Raw genomic sequence first — 23,571 nt, 5'->3', positions numbered from 1 at the left:
TTATGGTTATTTAGCCCTTTATAGTTTATACAGCATGCATGCCATCTGCTCTAATTCTCACAACATATACTGTACAATAACTGTTGTTATCACCAACATGTCGCAGGGGGACTAAGATTCCACAATGTTAAAAGGACTCATCCAAGCTCATACAACAGTTACTGGCAGAAAAATCTTCAGTTCTAGGTATCTTGCTGTTATACTTCAGTTGCCTCTATAATAATACCTTAAATTCCAGTTTACAAATCATTGGTATATACACCATTTTATTTTATTTTAAAAAATCAAATTATGAGGAAGGTATTGTCTTTATCATTTAAATTTTTTTGAAATCTGAAGCTTAAAATAGTTACGATTAATGTGAGATCACATAGCTGATATTTGACAGAAAGAGTACTTGAATCCACATCTCCTAGCTCTAGTCTAGTTCCCTTTTCACATCCCCTTAGAAGTGTTTTATGATGTAGGAATTAAACACTGTGCTTAGAAGTTTAAAATCAATTAAAGAAATCTTTCATATCTCATTTCCTTCATTTGAAAGACATGACTGATATCAGAACAAAGGAAATTTTAAATAAATAAGAAATGATCATGTTTTAATTGGAAAAAATGTCTTGCAGAAAAATTCTTTAATACAACCCTGGGCATATCCTCAAACACTATAGTCCAATGGGAGAAAAAATACCACGTTCGGTTTTGAACTTTTCTTTTCTTTTTTTTTTTTTTTTTTGAGCAAGACCAGTTTTGGTTTTCTATTTGTTAGAAAAGGAAATTGAGACATAATTGCCAACACTATGACTGGCAATAATAATAACCAACAGCTATTGCATGTATATCAGGTTCTGAGCTCCATTCTGATCAGTTTTTACATGTATTAATTAAAGACACAGTGTAGTTGCCCAAGGTCATGGTTTGAGCATAAGAGTTATGAGTTGTACTGAGATCTAAGTTTGCTGCTGTGACTTCCTTTTTTTATTTTTATTTTTTTATTATTATTTTATATATATTTTTTTATTATACTTTAAGTTCTAGGGTAACGTGCAGCTTTGTTACATATGTATGCATGTGCCATGTTGTTGTGCTGCACCCATTAACTCGTCATTTACATTAGGTATATCTCCTAATGCTATCCCTCCCCTCTCCCCCACCCCACAACAGTCCCCGGTGTGTGATGTTCCCCTCCCTGTGTCCAAGTGTTCTCATTGTTCAATTCCCACCTATGAGCGAGAACATGCGGTGTTTGGTTTTTTGTCCTTGCGATAGTTTGCTGAGAATGATGGTTTCCAGCTTCATCTATGTCCCTACAAAGGACATGAACTCATCAATTTTTATGGCTGCATAGTATTCCATGGTGTATATGTGCCACATTTTCTTAATCCAGTCTATCATTGTTGGACATTTGGGTTGGTTCCAAGTCTTCGCTATTGTGGTTTTGAACTTTTCTATTTAAGGTGGTTGTAAAGCACCCATAACACGTTCAATTAGTAATTGGAAATGATGATGTGCAGTTCAAAGAGAGAGGTCTGGGCTGAAGATATATCTTAAGAAATATATTATTAATAGCTATTGATTCCCTTTGCTTCCCCCAAGTGAGGTCAGGAGAGACGTGAAACCCAAAGCTTTTCCATTCTCTGTAGTGTGAAGCAATGTACTTAGGGACAAAGTGTATGTGAGCGGAAGTTCATGTGTCTTTATTCAAACTTACCTGGTTTCTGTTTCCAGCTCTGTCACTCCTGAATAAACATAAGTTATTCACTCTCTGAGTCTCACCTTTCCTATATTTAAAATGCAATCGTAATACAGAATTTACAAAGCTATGAAAAGATCATGAAGATTGACAACGTACTTGTACAATGCCTGGCAGATAGGCTTTCACAATAAAAGTATAAAAAGATAAATTTTCCACCCTCATGCAATTTTTTCAAGTCAATAAAAAAGAGAAAGAGTGAGAGGGAAACTGGGTAAATGGGTCACAATAGAATATTTGCTTTGCTGTTTTAAATGCAAGTACTAAAAATCTAACTGACCAAGACCCTGCTTTAAAAGCAATATATTTTCTTTCACAGATTTCCATTGCATTATGAATGAAAATTCAGTGTTTACAAACATATTTAGAGTAAATATTATACACAATTTAGTTTGTGTTAGCAACGTTCAGAGGTTCAACTAGAAGTTGAACATGCTATTGAAAGTTGAAACATGCTATTTCCTCAGTTGTTTCTATAGGGTGGAACAATTCATTCTTATGTAATTAGTTATGGCTTGTGAGCGTAAGGTAATTTGGGCTCCACACCCTTTGTTTGTTGAGTCATATGTCTCATGGTGCTTTTCAGTTATTGAGTTCAAGACGTTTTTCGTGAACTGAAAGCAAAATTGGCTGTAATGTTATTCCCGTGGGAGGCTCATCCAAGTTAAAGCACATATTGACTCTAGCCTTTTGATTTCTTTTTTTGGAGATTTTAGCCTCCAACTTAATCCTTCTTTACAGTTCTTCTCACTCCACGCTTACAGATCCTGACATATCAGCTCATCTCTGGAAACAAAATCAATCCCTAATTGTTGCAGAAAGGAACAATTTGAGATTTCTTTAGCCTTTGGAGTTACATTTGCCTCCAACTCTGTCTATTTTTAACTCTTTCACTACTCAGCAGCCACTATTAATTACTGAAATCACAAATACCAGACACTATGCATTTGTGATTGCATGTAACAGGCACAATAACCCCATGAGGTAACAAATGGGTAAGCTGAAACTCAAATAGTTAGCAAATGTCAAAGTGACAGTTTTCTTCAACTAGAAAATTACTACAGTAGTGGTTGTTGAACACTGGACTCTCAACCCATGTCAGGGAAAGCCAGTTTTCACTAGTGTAGCAAAATGAACAAATAAGACAAATATAGCAAAAAGACATCATAAAGTTATAGCATTTAATAAATTTTTCTGAGGTTATTTTCTATGTTATATACTTAAATGCTCTTTTTAAAAGTGATCATGCTTGAACATGGTCAATTTTTATAAAGTGTCCTGTGTTTATTCAACAAAATGGAAAATTGGCAAGTCTATGTCTGCTTCCAACAGTCTTCTGAAATGTTACTAGTTCCAGTGCCACAGCATACAATGTGCAGGTGGCACAATACAAAATATCAAGAAGTGCCCTATTATAGGCTTGTGAGTTGAGTAGAGCCCAAACAATACCAGGCAACATTGCAGTGAAATGTATCCCACAGCACTGACCCTCAGAACATACCCTTCTCACTTATACCAGAATGTTGGCAAAACAAAATACAAAAATATGAAAATTAGAATATGCCTACATATAATTGCTTCTCAGCTCTATTGAGGCTTTTAAATCTGAAACATGTCAAGAATTAACACAGGCGATAAATATTTATAAATATCATAAATATTTACAAAACACCTATATCACCCAAGCATTCTGCAAAGTGTTAAACAGTTTGCCTATGTTAAACATAGGCATGAATATTATCTTTACCTTCAAGGTGTTCACAGCCAAGTGGATAACCTATTGAACTAGAAATATATACTTTATAACACGTAACATGACCCACTTAATCTTCAAAACAGCCTTTTGAGGTAGGTATTATTATTCCTATTTTTCAGATAAAGAAAATCTCAGATAAATGACAATATGACCTCCAAGCAAACAAAGGGTAAAACTGGAATTCACATCCAGCTCCCCTGGTGACTTCCCCAGTGTCAGTGTGTGTGACTATGTATTAGTACAAATTCATGGGGAAAATATGATAAATCAAATACATCATTGGCTATTGGAGCAGTTCTGTTTCATTTCAGTTACTTGCTATTCTCCCCGATCCTAGCTCTATGCCTCTGCCGATTTTTAATAATATGGGGAATCTTGCAATGAGAAATGCTACCGTCCTGACCCCCTCACCACCCCACCCCTGCTTCTTTATCTTCCTCGACACTTCTTCCCACCCAAATGATCTCTCTTCAGTACAGCCTTGGGGATGGTGCCCAGGCAAGGTTGATTACTACAGTAATGTCCAGCATAGAATTTTGGAAGACATTGCAGTAGAACTGACAATGATTTGTTGTTATTCTCAAAAACTTTATCAATTGGCAGAAAGGAAAGCAACTCCAAACCATAAGTCAGATTTCCCTCTTCTTCCATCAGACTACTTGAATTTCATTCATTTTGTGCTGAAAAAAAAAACTTGAAAGAAAAACCACTACGGACAGCCTTGTTAAGTTCAGTTTCATATCTACGAATATGTTTCTATGGCTAGAGCCATGTCCCAGATAAGAGACCGGGAAAGACAGAAGACAATCATGAACACTAAAATGATGGATGAAATCAGTGAAATGAATGACTTTCTTTGATCTCTCTCTCTTGTAAGGCCAGCACGTGTAACTTCGACTTCAAGATTTCTGAATCCATATGTAGTATGTTTCATTGTCGTCGCAGGGGTAGTGATCCTGGCAGTCACCATAGCTCTACTTGTTTACTTTTTAGCTTTTGGTAAGTACCAGAACATTATTACTCTTCAGATTTAATAGCTACATACAATTTCAGATTTAAAGTCTGGCATTCTTTCTTTTACTATGGCTTTTATTTCTTAATATAATGTGATTATATATCTTACTTATAATTCTTCCCCAAATATAGATGCATATCTGTATTTTTACTGAATCAGTATTTTTTCTCTTTCCTATTTTGGCCATTTTTAGTGCCCCAAACATACCTTTTGAGTATACCAAACATTGTTACTCAAAAAAGAATTATTCTATCCAAAGGAAAAAAAAACTCTCAATAATTTTCTGATGCTAAAATTTACTCATTTTGTTTTTCATTAATACTATGATTTCCTTCATTGATAACCTGATAAAATCATAACAGTGAAATATTTCAAAGAACCTTAAGTTTCAACATCTAAAATTTGGATGTACCTAAGTATTTGTCCATTCTTATTAACAAATAATGCTTCTGTCTTCTGAAAACAGTGTCTTACAAGCCTAACAGTTAGGATGGTCAGGAGATAAATTTTCAGTTGAGATGTTAAAAGGGGTAAAGTCAAACTTTTTAAAACATTATGTTCTTTAGTTGTCTCTTTTGTTTTGTTTAATTTTTTATTATTATATCACTAAAAATAGACAATGTGGACAAGAAAAAATAATGTAAAGAATACACATATCATGCTCATTCATAAACAACTTTCCTTAAAAATCTCTGTGAAGGCTCTTTCAGATGCTTTAACATAGATATGTAAAATGTGTCAAATTTTACTAAATAATATCATATATTAGAATTTTTTTCACTTAAAATACACTTTGAGGTTATTTTTATTTCAAATATAATTCTATTAAATCACTTAAATCATGTGTACGGGTGTGCAGGTGTGTACATGGGTATGTGTGAGTGTTAAGAGAAAAAGAGAAAGAATATAACTTATAGTATGTCCAATTGTAAACAGGCAAAAATGCTTAACTATGCAAAGATTGAAATACTTCCAATGGTGCAATAAAATTACCAACATTAGAAATACCAATAATGATACACAATCATTTCAGCCAATCAAATGTAAAGGTTATGGCTAAATTTTTGCTTTTGACTGCATTTTGCTATCAAATCACCTGGAGTCACCTACCCCTAAGGTGAACTACAGAGGTAGAAAAAAGAGACATGGAGTTTCAGGTTAAATTAATGAATTTTCACTCTTAATGACACGGCATTGTCATGCTTAAAGAGTAGGCCCCTTGGTAAGTCATCTGCAAACTGTGTTCCAGTGATCACTTATGGCCCCCAAATGACTTGATCTTCCACTACAAACAACCACCCTTCCCCCAGGATCTCCAACTCTTGCCCCTTACCAAGGTATTTGTCTGCGTAAGTAATGCATATGAACGATCAAAAGAAAGTAGACATTTTTATTCTAGACAGATTCCATTAGGTTATGTACATCTTCATAGTATTTCTGAGTTGTGTACAGATATGTTTCAGAGACTTTTATCTCCTTCACACAGCTGAATAGGTCCTCTGGAAGACCCCTGTTGTCGTTGTTGTTTTTGTTGTTTTAATGAAACATAATATCTTACATATTTCTGGAATACATGTGATATTTTGTTACATGTATACAATGTGTAATGATCAAGCCAGGGTATTTGAGGTATACAGCCCTTTGAGTATTTATCATTTCTATGTATTAGAACAACTCAAGTCCTCTTTTCTAGCTACTTTGAAATACATAATAGATTGTTGTTAACTTCACTCTGCTCTGCTATTAAACAATAAAACTTATACCATTTATCTAACTATATGTTTATATCTGTTAGCCAACCTCTCTTCAATCCCCCTCACACCCCTCCATCCTTCCCAGTCTCTAGTATCTGTCATTCTACTCTCTACATTGATGAGATCAACTTTTTAAGCTCCCACATATGAGTTAGAACATACTTGTCTTTCTTCTTTACTCTTTTTTTAGTAGTAGAGATGGGGTCTCACTTTGTTGCCCAGGCCGGTCTCAAATTCCTGGCTTCAAGTGATCTTCCCAGCTCTGCCTCCCCAAGTACTGGGATTACAGGGATTACAGGCATGAGCCACCATGCCTGGCTAATTTTGTCTTTCTGTGCTTGGCTTATTTCATTTAACACAATGACCTCCAATTCCATCCATGTTGCTGCAGATGACAAGATTTCATTCTTTTTATGGCCAAATAGTATTCCATTGTGTATGTGTGTGTGTGTGTGTGTGTGTGTATATATATATATATATATATATATATATATATATATATATATATATATATACCATATTTTCTTTATCCGTTCATTTGTTGATGGACACATAGGTTGATTCCACATCTTGGCTATTGTGAACAGTGCTGCGATAAACACCCAAGTACAAATATCTCTTTGACATGGTGATTTCTTTTCCTTTGGATAAATATCCAGTAGTGGGATTGCTGGATCATATAGTAGTTCTATTTTAGTTTTATGAGAAATCTCAATACCGTTTTCCATAATGGCTGCACTAGTTTACATTTCCACCAACAGTGTATAAGAATTCTCTTCTCTCTGCACTCTCACCAGCATCTGTTATTTTCTGTCTTTTTGGTAATAGAAATCTTAACTGAGGTGAGATGATATCTCATTGTGGGTTTGATTTGTGTTTCTCTGATGATTAGCAATGTTGAGCATTTTTTCATGTACCTGTTGATGATTTGTATGTCTTATTTTGAGAACTGTTCGCTCATGTTCTTTGCCCACTCCTTAATGGAATTTTTATTTTTTTTTAGTGTTGAGTTGTTTGAGTCCTTGTATATTCTGGATATTAGTCTCTTGTCAGATGAACAGTTGGCAAATGTTTTTTCCCATTCAATAGGTTGTCTTTCCATTCTGTTGCTTGTTTCCTTTGCTGTGCAGAAGCTTTTTAGTTTAATTAATTCCCATTTGTCTATTTTTGGTTTTGTTGTCTGTACTTTTCAGGTCATAGTGATAAATTATTTCCCTAGACTAAAGACATGAAGTGTTTCCCCTATGTTTTCTTTTAATAGTTCCCATAGTTTTAAGTCTTACATTTAAGTCTTTAATACATCTTGGGTTGATTTGTGTATATAGTGAGAGATAAGGGTCCAGTTTCATTCTTCTGCAAATGGATATCCAATTTTCCTAGTACTATTTATTGAAAAGAGTGTGCTTTCCCCATTGTTTGTTCTTAACACTTTTGTTGAAATTCAGTTGGCTGTAGGTGAATTTCTTTCTGGGCTCTCTATTCTATTTCATTGGTCTATGTGTCTGTTTTTATACCAATACCATTCTGTTTTGGCTACTATAGCCTTGGAGTATAGTTTGATGTCAGGTGGTGTGATGTCTTCAAATTTGCTCTTTCTGCTCAGGTGTGATTCGACTATTTGGGCTCTTTGTTTCATACAAATTTTAGGATGGCTTTTTCTATTTCTGTGAAAAGTGATGTTGGTATTTTGATAGGGATTGCATTGAATCTATAGATTGCTTTGAAGAGTATAGTATTTAAATGGTATCAGTTCTTTCAATCCATGAGCAAGGAATGTCTTTCCATTTGTTTGTGCCCTCTTCCATTTCTTTCATCAGTGTTTTGCAGTTGTCCTTGTAGAAGATGGAATTACCTTCTTGATTTTTTTCTCAGCTATTTCATTGTTGGTGTATAGAAATGCTATAGATTTTTGTATGTTGAGTTTGTATCCTGCAACTTTATTGAAATTATATATCAGATCTAAGAGTTTTTTGGTGGAGTCTTTAGGTTTTTTTGGGTATAAAATTATATAATCTGCAAAAGGGACAATTTGAATATGTAACTTCTTTTCCAATTTGAATGCATTTTTATTTATTTCTCTAACCTGATTGCTCTGGTTAGGACTTCCAGTACTATGTTGAATAGGAGTGATGAAAGTGGACATCTTTGTCTTGTTCCAGTTCTTAGAGGAAAGGCTTTCAGCTTTTCCCCATTTGGTAAAATGTTAGCTGTGGGTTGGTCAGCCTTTATGTTGTTGAGGTATGTCCCTTCTAAGCCTAGTTTGTTGAGAGTTCTTGTTATGATGGGATATGGAATCTATTGAACATCTATTGAGATGATCATATGGTTTTTGTCTTCATTCTGTTCATGTGATGTATTAAGTTTATTGATTTGCATATGTTGAATCATTCTTGCATCTCTGGGATAAATCCCAGTTGATTGTGGTATATTATCTTTTTGATATGCTGTTGGATTCAGTTTGACAGTATTTTGTTGAGTATTTTTGCCTCTGTGTTCATCAGTAATATTGGCCTATTTTTTTTTTTTTTTTTTTTGAGACAGTCTTGCTCTGTCACCCAGGCTGGAACACAGTGGTATGATCTTGGCTCACTTTAACCTCTGCCTCCCGGGTTCAAGCAATTCTCCTGCCTCAGCCTCCCAAGTAGCTGAGATTACAGGCGCCTGCCACCACACCTGGCTAATTTTTGTATATTTAGTAGAGACAGGGTTTCACCATGTTGGCCAGGTTGGTCTCGAACTCCGGACCTCGTGATCCACCCACCTTGGCCTCCCAAAGTGCTGGGATTACAGGCATGAGCCACTGCACCCGGCCTGTAGTATTTTTTTTTATTGTGTCCTTGTCTGGTTTTCTCTCAGAATAATACTGGCTTCATAGAATGAGTTGGGGAGAACTCCCTCCTGTTTGATGTTTTTGAATAGTTTGAGGAGAATTGATGTTAGTTCTTCTTTTAAGGTTTGGTAGAATAGCAATAAAGCCATTGGTCCTGGACATTTATTTATTAGGAGATATTTTACTACTGATTCAATCTTATTACTTGTTATTGGTCTGTCAAGTTTTTTATTTTGCAAGGTGCCTTTTGATGAAAATAATTTACATTGGATTACTAGATTAGATATCTTGTCAGATGACTTACTTTCTAGCTTACTCCAGAAAAACTAATGGTGAATTACTAACTCCTCAATAAAGAATATTATTTGAAATAATTTTTGAAATTTCATAATTACTTTGGGTTCTTTCTTAATGATAAATAAATAATAGTATATTACAAACATACATTAATATTTCCTGAATGAATACACCACAAATCTCCCTTAAAATATAGCAAGAATAAAAATTATACTATTTCTGACAATTTTTAATTTCTCAAATAATAATACCACTCTGATTTTTAAACATCTACACCACTCTGGCTTTGCCAATCTTTTTAAAAATTGAAAAGATAATAATTTTATCATAATTACACTGAAGCATAGAACTTTTTCTTTCAAGGAAAGCAAATTTTTGAAATTCTATAATATAACCTCCCATAATCCTGAATAAATTAAAGGTTCAACAACTTAGTAAAGTAAGACTGACCTTCCCTTTTATTTCTTTTTCAGATCAAAAATCTTACTTTTATAGGAGCAGTTTTCAACTCCTAAATGTTGAATATAATAGTCAGTTAAATTCACCAGCTACACAGGAATACAGGACTTTGAGTGGAAGAATTGAATCTCTGGTAAGTTAATATTTGTCTTTGCTCTTTATTCCATTATAAAATGAATATGATAATAAACCTAATGTTTTGTAATATATTTTCAGTTGCTAAGTGCTCTACATATTTTCCTTCCTTGAATGGTGAAACATGTGTTTCTCTCTGCTTTTATCCAGTTAGTTTACTCATATACTGGTTCTTATTCACATCTTTGTCATGAGTAAAAAGTGTTAGAAAGGCCACGAGTAAATATGCATTTTATTTGTTTATGAATTCAAATACTAAAAGTTTTTTATTTGTTTAATTAAGCATTGACATTGTCTTTTTAAATTCTTTTCATTTTACCTTCTTCCCTCTTCCTTATCCAACTAAAGACGCAAAGCAGGAGGTGTTAAAAAACAGGTTTACCATATCAGCAGTAACATAGTTTGGACAACATTACACTTTGGTTCAATGATAGACATAGAAGTTTGAACAGAAATATGCAAAGCAAGTTTGAGCTCTAACTTGAAGAGAGCCTCTGGGTGCCTGCCAGGAAACCTCACGAGTGGACCCTTAACATTCATGTGTCACCACAAACTAGGGGCTGCCCTTTAGTTTTGACCAGTCTCAGTGTCACTCACTTACCCTTACCTTTTCAAAAAAAAGTCCTAAGAATATAAAGTAATTCAATGGTTCTACAATTTTAGCATGTAACTGAGTCACCTGGCAGGGTTGCTTTGGTGAGCTCAAGATAAAATTTTATCAGCATTTCTACATTTTCTGGAATATTCCTTAATCCAGGCTTTTAATCCCTTGGTGCTTTTCTGAACCACTGCAATGAGCTTCTAACTGTTCTCACTGTGTGCAGGCTCTTTTCCTTCTAATCTAATTTACACACTTCTGAACACAAATCTCTCACAGCCTGTTTCCTTCATGTTACCTCCAGCTCAAGACTTTTTGCCTACAAAATAAAATTCAAACTTGTTAGCTAAGCACCTTCTCATGTCTATGCTTTGGCTCATATTTCAGCCATCGTGTGCCCCACTTATTCTTATAGCCAACCTGAAAAGCCATCTTTTATAAGAAACTACCTCTGCTCTCCATGATTGGATATAATTAATCCTCCTTCCACATCACCTCGCCACAAAATTGTATCTGTGTTGATCTCATGCCACATACCTGTATGTATTTTATATTATAAATATTTGCAGACTTGTTTAATTTGCCATGTTAGACTAAGTTCCATGAAGACAGCTCCATATCCATTCCATTTTTATATATCCACAACATTTGGTCGGGTTGATGCTTAATAAATGTTTATTGAAGGAACAGGAGTCTCCCACTTCTGACATAATGAACTTATTTCCCCCAGTGTTAACCCTACATCTGGTTCCTGTCCAAGAGTCTCTTCCCAAATCATTCTGATTCAACTGTTCATTCTGATCTCATTAAACATTTAAATGATATATCTAACTTCGCTTGCTTTATTCTATGCTCATCCTGCAGTCTCCTCATAACTTGGTTTCAATGATGCTTGCTTCTAGAGAAAAAAATGTATTAAATAAGCTTATGATTCAGTCCTCCAGCTGTGATGGTTCTCACTGAACATTAGCTCAGTGGTTTTCGAAGTATGGTCTCTAGCATAACCTAGAAACTTGTTAGAAATGCAAATTCTTGGGCTCACCAAGACATACTAAATCAAAAATTCTGACATTGGGGCCTAGAAATCTGTGTTTTAACAAGCCTGCCAGTGCAGCCTGGTCCCTTTTCTTCTCGGAGCCCCACTCAAAGCTTTCAGTGCTCATCTCCCACCAATGACAGGGTCCTCTATGGAAACCGGCAGGACGGTTTCCAACTCTAACTACGTTTTAGAGTTTGCTTCCTAGGGCTATCCAGGCACCAAGTATCACAGGTTAGTTTCCCAGGGAAGCAGACTCTGAGACTTGCATGCAGGGAGTGTCTCTGGGGTGCTCTCAACCAACACCTTCAGGAAGAGAAGGAAGCAGCATTGGGCAGAGGCATAGTCAAACTACAGTGCTGTTGGCACAGAAGACTGAAGGGAGTCAGAGCCAGGGGGTAGAGGTGGGCCCTTAGCATCCATCCTTCACCATTAGGTGTGAGTTGCCCCACCTCCTTGATGGTGTAACCTCAGTCCCAAGGTGGGTGGGAGTGCAGCAGAGCAGCCCCTACAAGGGCCAAACCAGAGATACACCAGGCGCCAGAAGTGCTGCCAGGGAATAGAGAGGAAAGGATGGGCTTAAGGTAGGATCCACAGAACTTGGCAATGGATTAGAAGACAGGATGAGAAGTGACAGGTTAACACTAACACAGAAATGTCTAACTTCGGTAGATAATGGTGCCATTGGCTAGAAGAGGAAACCGAAATGAAAGCAGGTTGTTCAGGGAGACAAAAGTTCACTGTGGACATCTCAGCAGAGTGATTCAGTGGGGAAAGGAATGGATGCCCAGACCACCTCAGAGGAAGATCTAAGCTGGAGCCAGCAATAAAGATACAAGATGAACAATCCCTAACGAACTGCTCCTCAGCCATGCTCCCCAGACACGCTGCTTCAGATTTATAGTCCGGGTGAGGCTAGGAGGTGCGCCTCCCTCAGTGGAGGACAGCAAAGCACCAGTGGCTCCAGGGAGTTAAAATCTTTTGATAATTTTTGTTCTAGCATCTGTCTGCAGAGCTGTCTCTCAGCCATTGCCTGCCTTTACACAGGAGTGCAGTCCGAAATTGGGAGATGAGTGAAATTTATTATGCCTAGAGATCTGGATCCCCAGTTGTTTGGGAGTATATTTTCTGAACCACTTGTTGGTTTAAGTAATGCAGATTTATTGATGCCACTTCTCTTGAATCTGTGACTCTGGACCCACCATCTAAGTGAATGTGCAGAGGGAACGGAATGGCTGCAATAGATCTCCATTAAAACCAGTGCATCCTCCCAGACACATACAGTAGTAGGGAGGTGAGTCAATGTCAGGACAGCACCAGCTCCCGCTTCGGTACATTTCCAAAGTTCTCAGTCTGTGTACAAAGGTTTGCTCTGGGGCAGCAGAAATAGCCCTGGGCAGGTAGTCAAAGGCCTGGTTTGATTTCCTCCACTTCCAGGCAAGTCACTCGAAGGCTCACAGGCTTTTTCCTCACCTGCCACATGGGTCCAGTGAGATCTACTGAGCTGTAAATAATGAAATGAGTGTGTGTGCAGTCATCTATAAGTTGTAAAGTACTAGAAAATGGTGAAACTTTGGGATTTGGGCTATTTAAGGCTGAATGCTAAAAATGTCAGGCATTGTGGAGAAAGGAATTTAAATATAAGATTGATTGACTGGGATTTAAAGACAAATGAAGGCACACACGCAAGTGCACACCCACACTGACACTGCACAGCTCCCGTTGGAGGCATATCCTGACCATGCAGACCTGGGGCTCTGCCTGTCCAAGTGCACTCCTTTACTACATAAACCCTCCTTCTCTTTTGGGGCTGTCACCCCACCAGAGCTGGCACCGAGCCCTTGCTGCTGCGCTTCCCTGGGGTGTCAGCTTTTGACAGGGTGTTTCCTCCCTCTGCAGGAGCCTTAACATCCCTTGGACTTCCTTCCCCCCACCCACCCCCAGCAGTTTTATCTCTTCCTAACTCGGGACCCTTTTTTTCCCACACAAAGTTTATTGTCAGTTGCTGGTTTCATCTGTTTGAGCGGCTGCAACAAAATACCATAGACTGGGTGGCATATGCACGACAAAAATTTATTTCTCACAGGAGAAGTCAAAGATTAATGCACCAGCAGATCTGGTGTCTGAGGGGCCACCTTCTGGTTTGTAGATGATGCTTTCTAGTTAAAACACCTATTTAACACACTATTAAACACTAAGTGTGTTAAATAGTGCAGTTGATGTATTTGTCATGTCACCTTTATCATACACTAAATCCTTCTTTGTCTTTTTTTCTGTACTCTAATCTCTTTCTGTAAGTAATCTTTGCTTGCAGCAGTAGGATATTTAGAGTACTGTGGCTTGACAATATATTTAGTATTTCAAGATTTCCATGAAATTCTTCTGATGTATGAGTTCCCTAGTTAATCTTACATATGTATCCCTTTGTAAAAACACTTTGAACATTTAAAATGATACATGAATAGTACTCTAATACAATGCCATAAAAATTATAAATCATTTGTATAGACTGGTAAGTAAAGATTGTGAGATTAAGAAACGCATCAAAGGCCATTGAGCTGGAAAGTGGTATAATGAGAATTCAAACCAGGGTCTCTTGACTCAAAATCTAAGGATCATACCATTTCTCATGATAATATGAGTATTATTGTTATCTCTATCCCATAGACAAAGTGTTAACACTGAATGAGCAGTGAAATAGTCTCAGAATTTTTTATTTTATTTAGCAATTCACTTGTCATTTCTGGTCCTCAGTTTATTCACGAGTAAAATAAAATAGTTGGACTAGATAATTTCTATAGTACATTCTTACACAAAAAATCTATGATTTTGTTATTTTTAATGTGATATACTCATGGCACTCATTCACCTCATTTTCCCAGCCTGCCTCACTGGTCATTACTTCTCTGTGTTCTTTACAGGCTCCCCCTCCTCTACACTGCCATTAAATATTGAAACACCTCAAAGCTTTACTTATGTCCACCTCTCCTCTGACACTATCATTCTGTCTAGATGATCCCATACATACATGCCCATTACTTCAACCTGTATTTATACGCCAATGATTCACTATATTTCCAGCCTAGACATTCTTTTGTACTCTAGTTACCAGCTTGATATCCTTACATGGCTGTTTCAAAACAACTCAAATATATTATCTCTCAAAATCAAACTCATGATGTCCCCACACCATCCTAGCTTTCCACCAACAATACCTATCCCTATTAATAGCAATACCATTTATTCAGTTATCCAAATCAAAAACCTAGAATTCATCCTTAAAATTCTACTATCATTCCAAATATCCTATCCATCAGCAGCCACTGTATTCTTAATCCCCTGTATTTCCTTCAAATCCATTCACCTCTCTCCATATCCATTGCTGCATGACTATCCAAGCCATCGCCTCTACCCTAGGGTACCAAAATAGCAACAAACCTAATCTGTTCATTTGCATTATTTTTTCTCCAAAACTGATTATCTATATGTAGCAAGACAGATTGTTCTCAAATTGCAAATCCCACTATATTATCCTCTTGCTTCAAACACTTCCATGGTTTCCCATTGTTTATGATAAAACCAAATGCTTCAAGTTCGAAGACCGGCATGATTGGGAATTTCCTGTCACCCTAGCCTACTTGCTCTCCATGGTACAGTTGCACTGGCTTTCTTTCATTCCTTAAGTACAACCTGTTTCCTCCCACCTCAGGACTGTGCATGTGCCATTCATTCTGCTGAGGAGCCTTTTTCCTTCCACTTCAATCAGCTAAGTCTGATTCTTCCTGACAATCTCAGCTCAATAAGCATTTCCTCTAAGAAATGTCTCTAATATCATTAATTGGCTCAGGTCCCTCTACTGTATTGCTGCACTTTTCACAGTTATAATTTTACTTAATTATGAATGATTATTTGATTAGGTCTATTTCCATCCATTAGACATAAGCTTCATGATGGCCAGATTACTGTTTTCTATCCATCGTTGTATTCCAATACCTGACAGAAGGAGGGCGGGAGGTGGTGGCACACAAGAGATGCTCAAAAACAATTGTTGAATAAGTAAATGAATGAGGCCATTTAGAAATAACGAAAGTACCTGTTTACAAAGTACATGTATCAAAACTATGAATGCATTCTACTTACATGGTTTTCTCCAAATAAAACAAAAGACTTCAATCAGGATTAATACCTGGGATAAACTGAGTCATTAAATCTCTCCTTTGCCATCAGGAGTGACATTGAAACAAATGTCTGCAAACAACAAATACTTTTTTCCCAAAATATATTGAATGGCATTTCCATAAACAAACTAGAACATGGGAGGAGAAAGAAAGCAATATTAATTTAAAATTAATCTTATCACATAACTTATACCATCAGGGATTTCGGGTAAAATTCCTTTCAGGCACATCCATTTAACAAGAATTGATTGTTACTGAAAGCCTAGAAGAGAATTTGGCACATACTTGGTGTTCAAATATTTGTTGACTGAGTGAATAAATGATGCAAGTGTCTAAGAAACACAAAATAAGGACATGATTACAGTCACGGTGGAGTTCACAGTCATCTCCAAAATGAGGATATGCATCCCAGGGAGGACCAACAATTCATTGGAGTGCTGAAATAAAATACTCAAAGGTCATTTTACATGTATTTTTTCTCTAAATTACTTTTCTTAAGACACAGAAAACAAAAAAAGAAACTTAGCTTTGTTACTTTCTAACAAATAGTTAAATCATTAAACAGGATTGACACTAGCATCCTTGTTTGGTCTTATGCCTTAGGGGAACATGAAATGTGTGAAGACATTCTGAGATCTGAGGGAAGGGTAGACAGTAATACAGTGGGACTGACCAGGCTTCAGCACACCTTTACCTCCTCTCAGCAGATTTCAGTGATGAGCAGTTTACAACTAGATTGAAAGATTATATTATCTAGTTCTAAAAGAAAACTAAGCCTCCCAAAAGCAACAAGGGAACTGAGAGGAATCCTGCAAAACAAAAACAAATTTTAAAACTTGCACTTTGTAATAACCCTAATATGTAATCACAGTAATGAACAGTAAGATAATGACAGAACTGACATATTTCCTTATCTATTAAAGCCATATTAACAGGTAAAGCAATGCCAGTCAGTGGTACACTTCTTAGAAGATATTTAATACATACTAGACACATACACACACACAACATTTTCCTTCAAGGTGTATGTATCAGAAAATCACTTTTTAAGGCCGGATGCAGTGGCTCAGGCCTGTAATCCCAGCACTTTGGGAGGCCGACGTGGGCGGATCATCTGAGGTCAGGAGTTCAAGACCAGCCTGCCCAACATGGCGAAACCCCATCTCTACAAAAATACAAAAATTAGCCAGGGATGATGGTGGATGCTTGTAGTCCCAGCTACTCAAGAGGCAGAGGCAGGAGAATCACTTGAACCTGGGAGGCAGAGGTTGCAGTGAGCCAAGATCACCCATTGCACTCCAGCCTGGGCAACAGAGTGAGACTCTGTCTCAAAAAAAAAAAAATCACTTTTTAGATAAAATTCATGCTATAGAGAGAAGACTATGAAAATATGTTTAGCAATGTGTCCATCATTAGGTGATTGAGTTTCCTTTTGTTTTGTTTTACTGAAAATCATATAAAGTATGTTATCTGTAAAAGTTCTCTGACATGCACACATAAAAATTTGGGAGAAAAGATTAACTATAATGTTTAATAGATTTTGTACACATTTCTTTAAAAATATATAAAACACAACACCTTTCAATTGGTTTGCAAGAATAACCAATTGACATCATGGAAAATGGAAATTCACTTGCTGAATTTTAACAAAAATTTGCATGATGAGTGAGACTGACAACTTAGTGTCATGATTTAATGAATTATGCCAATGGTAAACTTCATGCACATGGGGCCAGGTAATTATGTGGAAACTTTTTCAATGCTTAAAGCCAAGTATTGAAATTAAACTTAGAATCAGACCTTTGAACCATTTTATGACAATGTTCAAAAATTATAAATTCTATCCACTTATATTATAATATTAAAAATATCATTACAAAAAAAACCTGTGTTTATTTTATAACTCAGCCTTTTTAATTTCTAATTTCATAAATATATTATAATGGATATTGTTAGTAATGTAGTATTATTACATGTATATAATTTATAAGTAAATATACATGTTTTGGCTACTCATGCATAAAATGTTTCACCCATAGGAGCACATAATCAGAAATGTCTGGAGACCATTATAGTAATAGATAGATCATATTGCCACATATTTTATCTCCTCCTTGACAACTGAGCTTTCCAGATCTTCTGGTGAAACGAAAGAGAAAGTTGTAACAGAAGAGTGATTAAAATGACAAAAGCATTACTTCTATTACTTCTATTCTAATAATATGAGCAAAGCTATAACTATCAAGTAATAATGCACTAAAGAAGGTGATTAATCTGATATATTCACAGGCAACTAATAAGACCTTTCTATTGCAGCCATGAAAAATATGTGACAATTATAGATATCCTGTGTGCAGTGTTTCAACCTTTATGTGACCTGTTCTACTAACAGATTTAGTGATGTTCACTTTGTTAGAATTTTCTTACACATGCCATAACTTGCTTCAGTCTTTTGATTATGAATATTATGGATATTAAGGATTCTAGACTATTCTAGATTTAAAAAATAATATTGTCACCTCAATCAGAAGGGAAATATTAAATAGTTCTCATTTTTTCAATGTTTACTCAGTTTTTGTCCAATGTAATGAAAGTGTCAGCAGTACAGGTTACAAAATAAAATGTGTATTAAAGTAAACTCATTTGAACAGGTTAATAATTGTAGAGGGAGGGAAAAGGCTAAAAGATTGAATGTAAAACTTATGAAAAGTAGATACATCGTCTCTATGATTTGCAGTAGTCAACTGCATACAGATGAATCATTTTAATACACGTTAACTACTTTCCTTTTACAGATGGAGAAACTGAGAGGAAGAAAGTTTATATGGTTCATTAAACTTTGTGATGCAAGCTAAACTAACCTGTCTCTGTATTTTCCATCTACTGCCCTTATCACTATCTCATTAGAATACTCTTCAAGCATCTCCTTACTGATTTTCTTACCAAGCATTTGTTAAGTTCTAATGAGAGTTGGTAGTAACATTTTCACCCACTCTGTGAAATATGAAATCTTATTCATAGGCCTCTTCTTTTATTCTTGTATTTGCATATCAACCAATTAATCAACTTGCTTTCTTTATGTTGCTTATTATCTTAGTCCTTACTAAATTGCCTCTTAATGTTGTCCACATAACAGAAATGTTAAGGTGGATACTTAACATTTTAGTCCAGTCTAGCCGGTGCCAGTGCAATGCCAAATCATGAATTAAAATATAATTACAAGAACCACTTATCAAATTTTAACAATTCCTTCAGCTTTGTGACAGTTTTTTCTACTTCGATTAAAGTCAAGTAAAATTAAAGTTAAATATTTTTATTAAAATATCTCCTTTAACATTCCATATTAATAAACATATTAAAGCTCATGCTTCTAAGTAGATTACTAGAAGTTACTTTATCGAATTACAGCAATGGTTAATTCTAGATCATAGAATTTAGAATGACTTTTTGCCTTCTTCTTTTTTTTCCTTTTTTTTAAACAGAGTCTTGCTCTGTTGTCCAGGCTGGAGTGTACTGGCGCGATCTTGACTCACTGCGACCTCTGCCCTGCAGGTTCAAGTGATTCTCCTGCCCCAGCCTCTTAAGTAGTTGGGATTACAGGTGCCTGCCACCACACCTGGCTAATTTTTTTTTTGTATTTTTAGGAGAGACAGGGTTTCACCATGTTGGCCAGACTGGTCTCGAACTCCTGACCTCAAGTGATCCACTTGCCTCAGCCTCCCAAAGTGCTGGGATTACAGGTGTGAGCCACTGTGCCTGGCCTGACTTTTTGCTTTCTTCTTAATACTTACTAGTATTTCTTGAATTTTTAAAAAAGAAACATAAAGTACTTTGATAAAACCAACAGTCTCATTGTTCTTAAAATTGTTCAAAGGTTCTCTGGAAAAAAAAAAGAAAATTATCATTTGGTTAAGAATCATGTTGGTCTGACATCAATCATCCTATAGGAGTGAATATTGAAAAAGTAAGATATATTGTGGTATAATCGAGATTGCATAAATTTTACCATTTTTGAGAAGAATCTGCTCCAAATCCTGGCTTAATGTAATATCCAGCATGCTACTTAATTTTCTTGTCTTCACCTTTTCATATCCACATCCACCTAGGTGCCACCTCACAGTATAAGCCAGCATAATCCATTCTTCTCAATGAAACCACAATACATCTGACCCTGCATCTCAGGAGAACTGTATCAGCCACAGCACTTCCAGTTGACTATGAATCTGAATGTTATGCCTCAGGAGAAACATCCTTGCTGGGACTGAGTAGTGATTCAAGGAGATAGTTATGATTCAGTCAAGAAATTAATAATTAGTGTTATTTTTATTATTGAGACAGAGTCTCGTTCTGTAGCCCAGGCTGGAGTACAGTGGCATGATCTCGGCTCACTGCAACCTCTACCTCCCCGGTTCAAGTGATTCTCCTGCCTCAGCCTCCCAAATAACTGGGACAGCAGGCACTTGCCACCACGCCTAGCTAATTTTTTGTATTTTTAGTAGAGACGGAGTTTCACCGTGTTAGCCAGGATGGTCTCGATCTCCTGACCTCAAGGTCCACCTGCCTCAGCCTCCCAAAGTGCTGGGATTACAGGCGTGAGCCACTGCGCCCGGCCATAAATTATTAACTGAGCCAGGCACAGTGGTACACACTTATAGTCCCAGATACTCAGGAGACTGAGGTTGGAGTATCCTTTTTTATGTTATTTTATTTTTAATTATTATGGGTACATAATAGGTGTACATACCCATGGAGTACAAGTCATGTTCTGATACAGACACATAATGTTTAATAATCACATCAGGGTAATTGGGATATCCATCACCTCAAGCATTTATCTTTCTTTGTGTTAGGAACATTCCACCTCCACTCTTGGAATAGGCACCCTGTTGTGCTATTAAATACGAGGTCTTATTCATTTCATCTAACTATATTTTTCTACCCATTAACCATCACCTCTTTTCCCCTCTTCCCCACTACCTTTCCTGTGAGGCTGCAGGATTCTTAAGCACAACAGTTAGAGGCCAGCCTGGACAACATAGTGAGACTCAATTTCTAAAAAATAAAAAAGAAATTACCAACTAATGCTAAAAAAATAGTCTCTGATGCTTAGGTATGAATTAGAAATGACCAAAAAAAAAAAAAAAAAAAAGACTGCCCTTTGCTTCCTTCTCCCCTTCTCTTCAAGTTTTCCATTGCTACTCATTTTAGTCTGGTTTAATCAGGTTTCATCCATTAAAAGCAATTGTTGGGATCACACATTTTGAGTTGTGTCAGTGGACTTCCCTCATGCTGGCATGATTCCTGCCCCAAGCCCTTAGTAAAAGCCACCAAGCCATATAACATAATCTCTCATTGAGTAAAACATCTGATGTGTTTAGAATGACTTCTAGCAAAAAACCAGCCTGTCCAGCATCATCTCTGTATAACAGATAAAGGAATAGGTACTGCATCAAAAGGTTATAGAACCTGCCCAAATCAATCCCATGTGTTTTGCAATGGAATTAGGTTGAACTAAAGTGAAAATTCAGTTTTCTACTCCTCATTAACATGTCTCATGTTGCAAGGTTGAGAGGAAGGAGAAGAAGAACTGTATTTACAGAGAGATTCCCCCTCTCTTTCTTTCTACAGATTACTAAAACATTCAAAGAATCAAATTTAAGAAATCAGTTCATCAGAGCTCATGTTGCCAAACTGAGGTGAGTGGAACTGTAGAAAAAATATTTAAGTATAGATACAATGTGGCATACTTGACTTTTTGTCACAGAATGAATAGTAAATGACATGTTCAGATAAGTTGTTGTAATATTATGAAAATAGTATTTTAGTCAGCTTAAAAACCAATGCCAAAAAAGCCAAACATATGATCTATTTAGCTACTAATGTAAATAACCATATTATATCTATTCTTATTGGGAAGAGGAAGAAGGGGTGGAGAGAGAGTTGGGGTGAAGGTACAGTAACAAGGCCATCCTATTGTAAAACTCCAGTGGATATCATTCACAGTGCAGCCTATGTAAACAGTCCCTCCTGGAGTTGTACAATGCTGTGGTTTGGGTGTATCCATCCAAGATCAAGACACTATGACCAACATCAAAAGTGGCTTTTTGGTTTTATCTGCCTGATGTGCTATAATAAAAGGGTATTATGGCCAAATCCAAGGCATGTCTATCATGAATTAATAATAGGAGGAGTAGCAGCATGCATGCTAGTTATTTGCCATTCCTGCCTTAGTTAAATATGATGTGATAAAACCAGCCTTTCCAACTGAAATAGTCACCTTTACTGACTCTCCCGCAAATGTCTCAAATGACCACATTGCTCTAGTCTTTAAATAATATGCAATAGTTCTTTGGTAGAAGAGGAATTATACTAATTCTTTCTCAAATACTAGCATCACAAGAAAATTAATTCTTGTTCTCTGGAGAGTCACCTAGTAAGTATCTGGAGCACAGATGTCTGGTCAGGTAAGTTTTGATGAGGAGTTAAAGGGATAAGAAGAGTCCATGAGAAGGGTATTTTCCAAAACACCTTTCGGTCAATTCAGTGCACATTCACTTAGTACTTTCTTGTCAGTATCTGTATCAGCCACTAATGTTCAAAAGTGAGTAAGCCCTGAAAACCTGTAGGACTACATGAGCCTTCTGCCTTTTCTCTCCTTTTGTTCACTTCCCACTTATCACTCAATCCTCTGCAACCTGGCTTCAATACCACCATAAAATATCAACTGCTCTTGCCGATTCAACAATGACATCCAGATAACAAAATCCAAAGAAACCACATCAGTCCTATTCTTGGACCTTTCAACAGTATTTGGTCCTGTTGGCCTGTCACTCCTTGAAATAGGACTATCCCTTGGTTTGCATGGCCTTGTATACCCTGATTTTCCCCTTACCTCCCTAGCTATTCCTTCTTAGTTTCCTTTACTAGGTCTTACTTCTTTGTATATTCCTTAAATGTTGCTGAACATCAGGCTGTGCTCTAGGCCTCTCATCTTCTCAGGTCACACTCTCTCCTTTCCTTGGCCTTCACTGCCACCCATATGCTGAGTGCTCTCAAAGTTGTATCTCTAGGCCAGTCCTCTTTTGCCTCCAAACATGAATATATGCAGCCATCTACTTGGTACCATCACATGGATAATTCTCATGATCTCTTCCAGTATGACTGCTTCTTTATTTTTTTCTGGGCTCTTTTTTAGCATTGCTTTACATGGAACTTTATCATGTCTCTCAACCTCTATTTTATCTTTTATCTATGTATGTAGAGTCTGTGTAATTTCTTCATCTCTTTTAGATAACTAATATCTCTTCAGCTTTGACTTGTATTCTGTGTAACCCATTTATTGCGTTTTCAATTTCAATGAGTATGTTTTCCTATCTGCAAGTTCTATTTGTTTCTTTTGAGAATCTTCCTGGTCTTTTAAACACATTTCTTATTTTAATTTTTGGGGGTACCTAGTAGTTGTATGTATTTTTGGAGTACATGAGATGTTTTGATACAAGCAAACAATGCATAATAATCACATTGTGTAAAATGGGGTATCCATCCCCTCAAGCATTTATCCTTTGTGTTACAAACAATCCAATTATATTCTTTTAGTTATTTTTAAATGTACAATTAAATTATTATTGACCATAGTGACTCTGTTGTGCTATCAGATACTAGGTGATCTTTTAAAAATAATGTTTTCTACTTAATCTCATTTTTATGATTCCCTCTTTTACGTCATTTGTCATTTCAAATACAGTCACTTGTCTGTTGATTCTATT

The 23,571-nt window shown here is 36.4% G+C and overlaps 1 protein-coding gene across 1 annotated transcript in view; it reads left to right on the top strand.

Annotated features, from left to right (window-relative positions):
* TMPRSS11D (transmembrane serine protease 11D) overlaps positions 1–23,571 on the top strand; it is a 63,127-nt gene that overhangs the window by 19,944 nt on the left and 19,612 nt on the right. The window contains exons 2-4 of the mRNA NM_004262.3: positions 4,381–4,502; positions 9,873–9,991; positions 21,434–21,501. Of these exons, the coding sequence (NP_004253.1) occupies positions 4,381–4,502; positions 9,873–9,991; positions 21,434–21,501 (309 nt within the window). The remainder of the gene's footprint in view (positions 1–4,380; positions 4,503–9,872; positions 9,992–21,433; positions 21,502–23,571) is intronic.

This window comes from Homo sapiens, chromosome 4 (assembly GCF_000001405.40).
Source record: "Homo sapiens chromosome 4, GRCh38.p14 Primary Assembly".
Classification (NCBI taxonomy): Eukaryota; Metazoa; Chordata; class Mammalia; order Primates; family Hominidae; genus Homo; species Homo sapiens.
The sequence above is the reverse complement of the archived record's forward strand: the minus strand, read 5'-3'. Positions and strand labels throughout refer to the sequence as shown.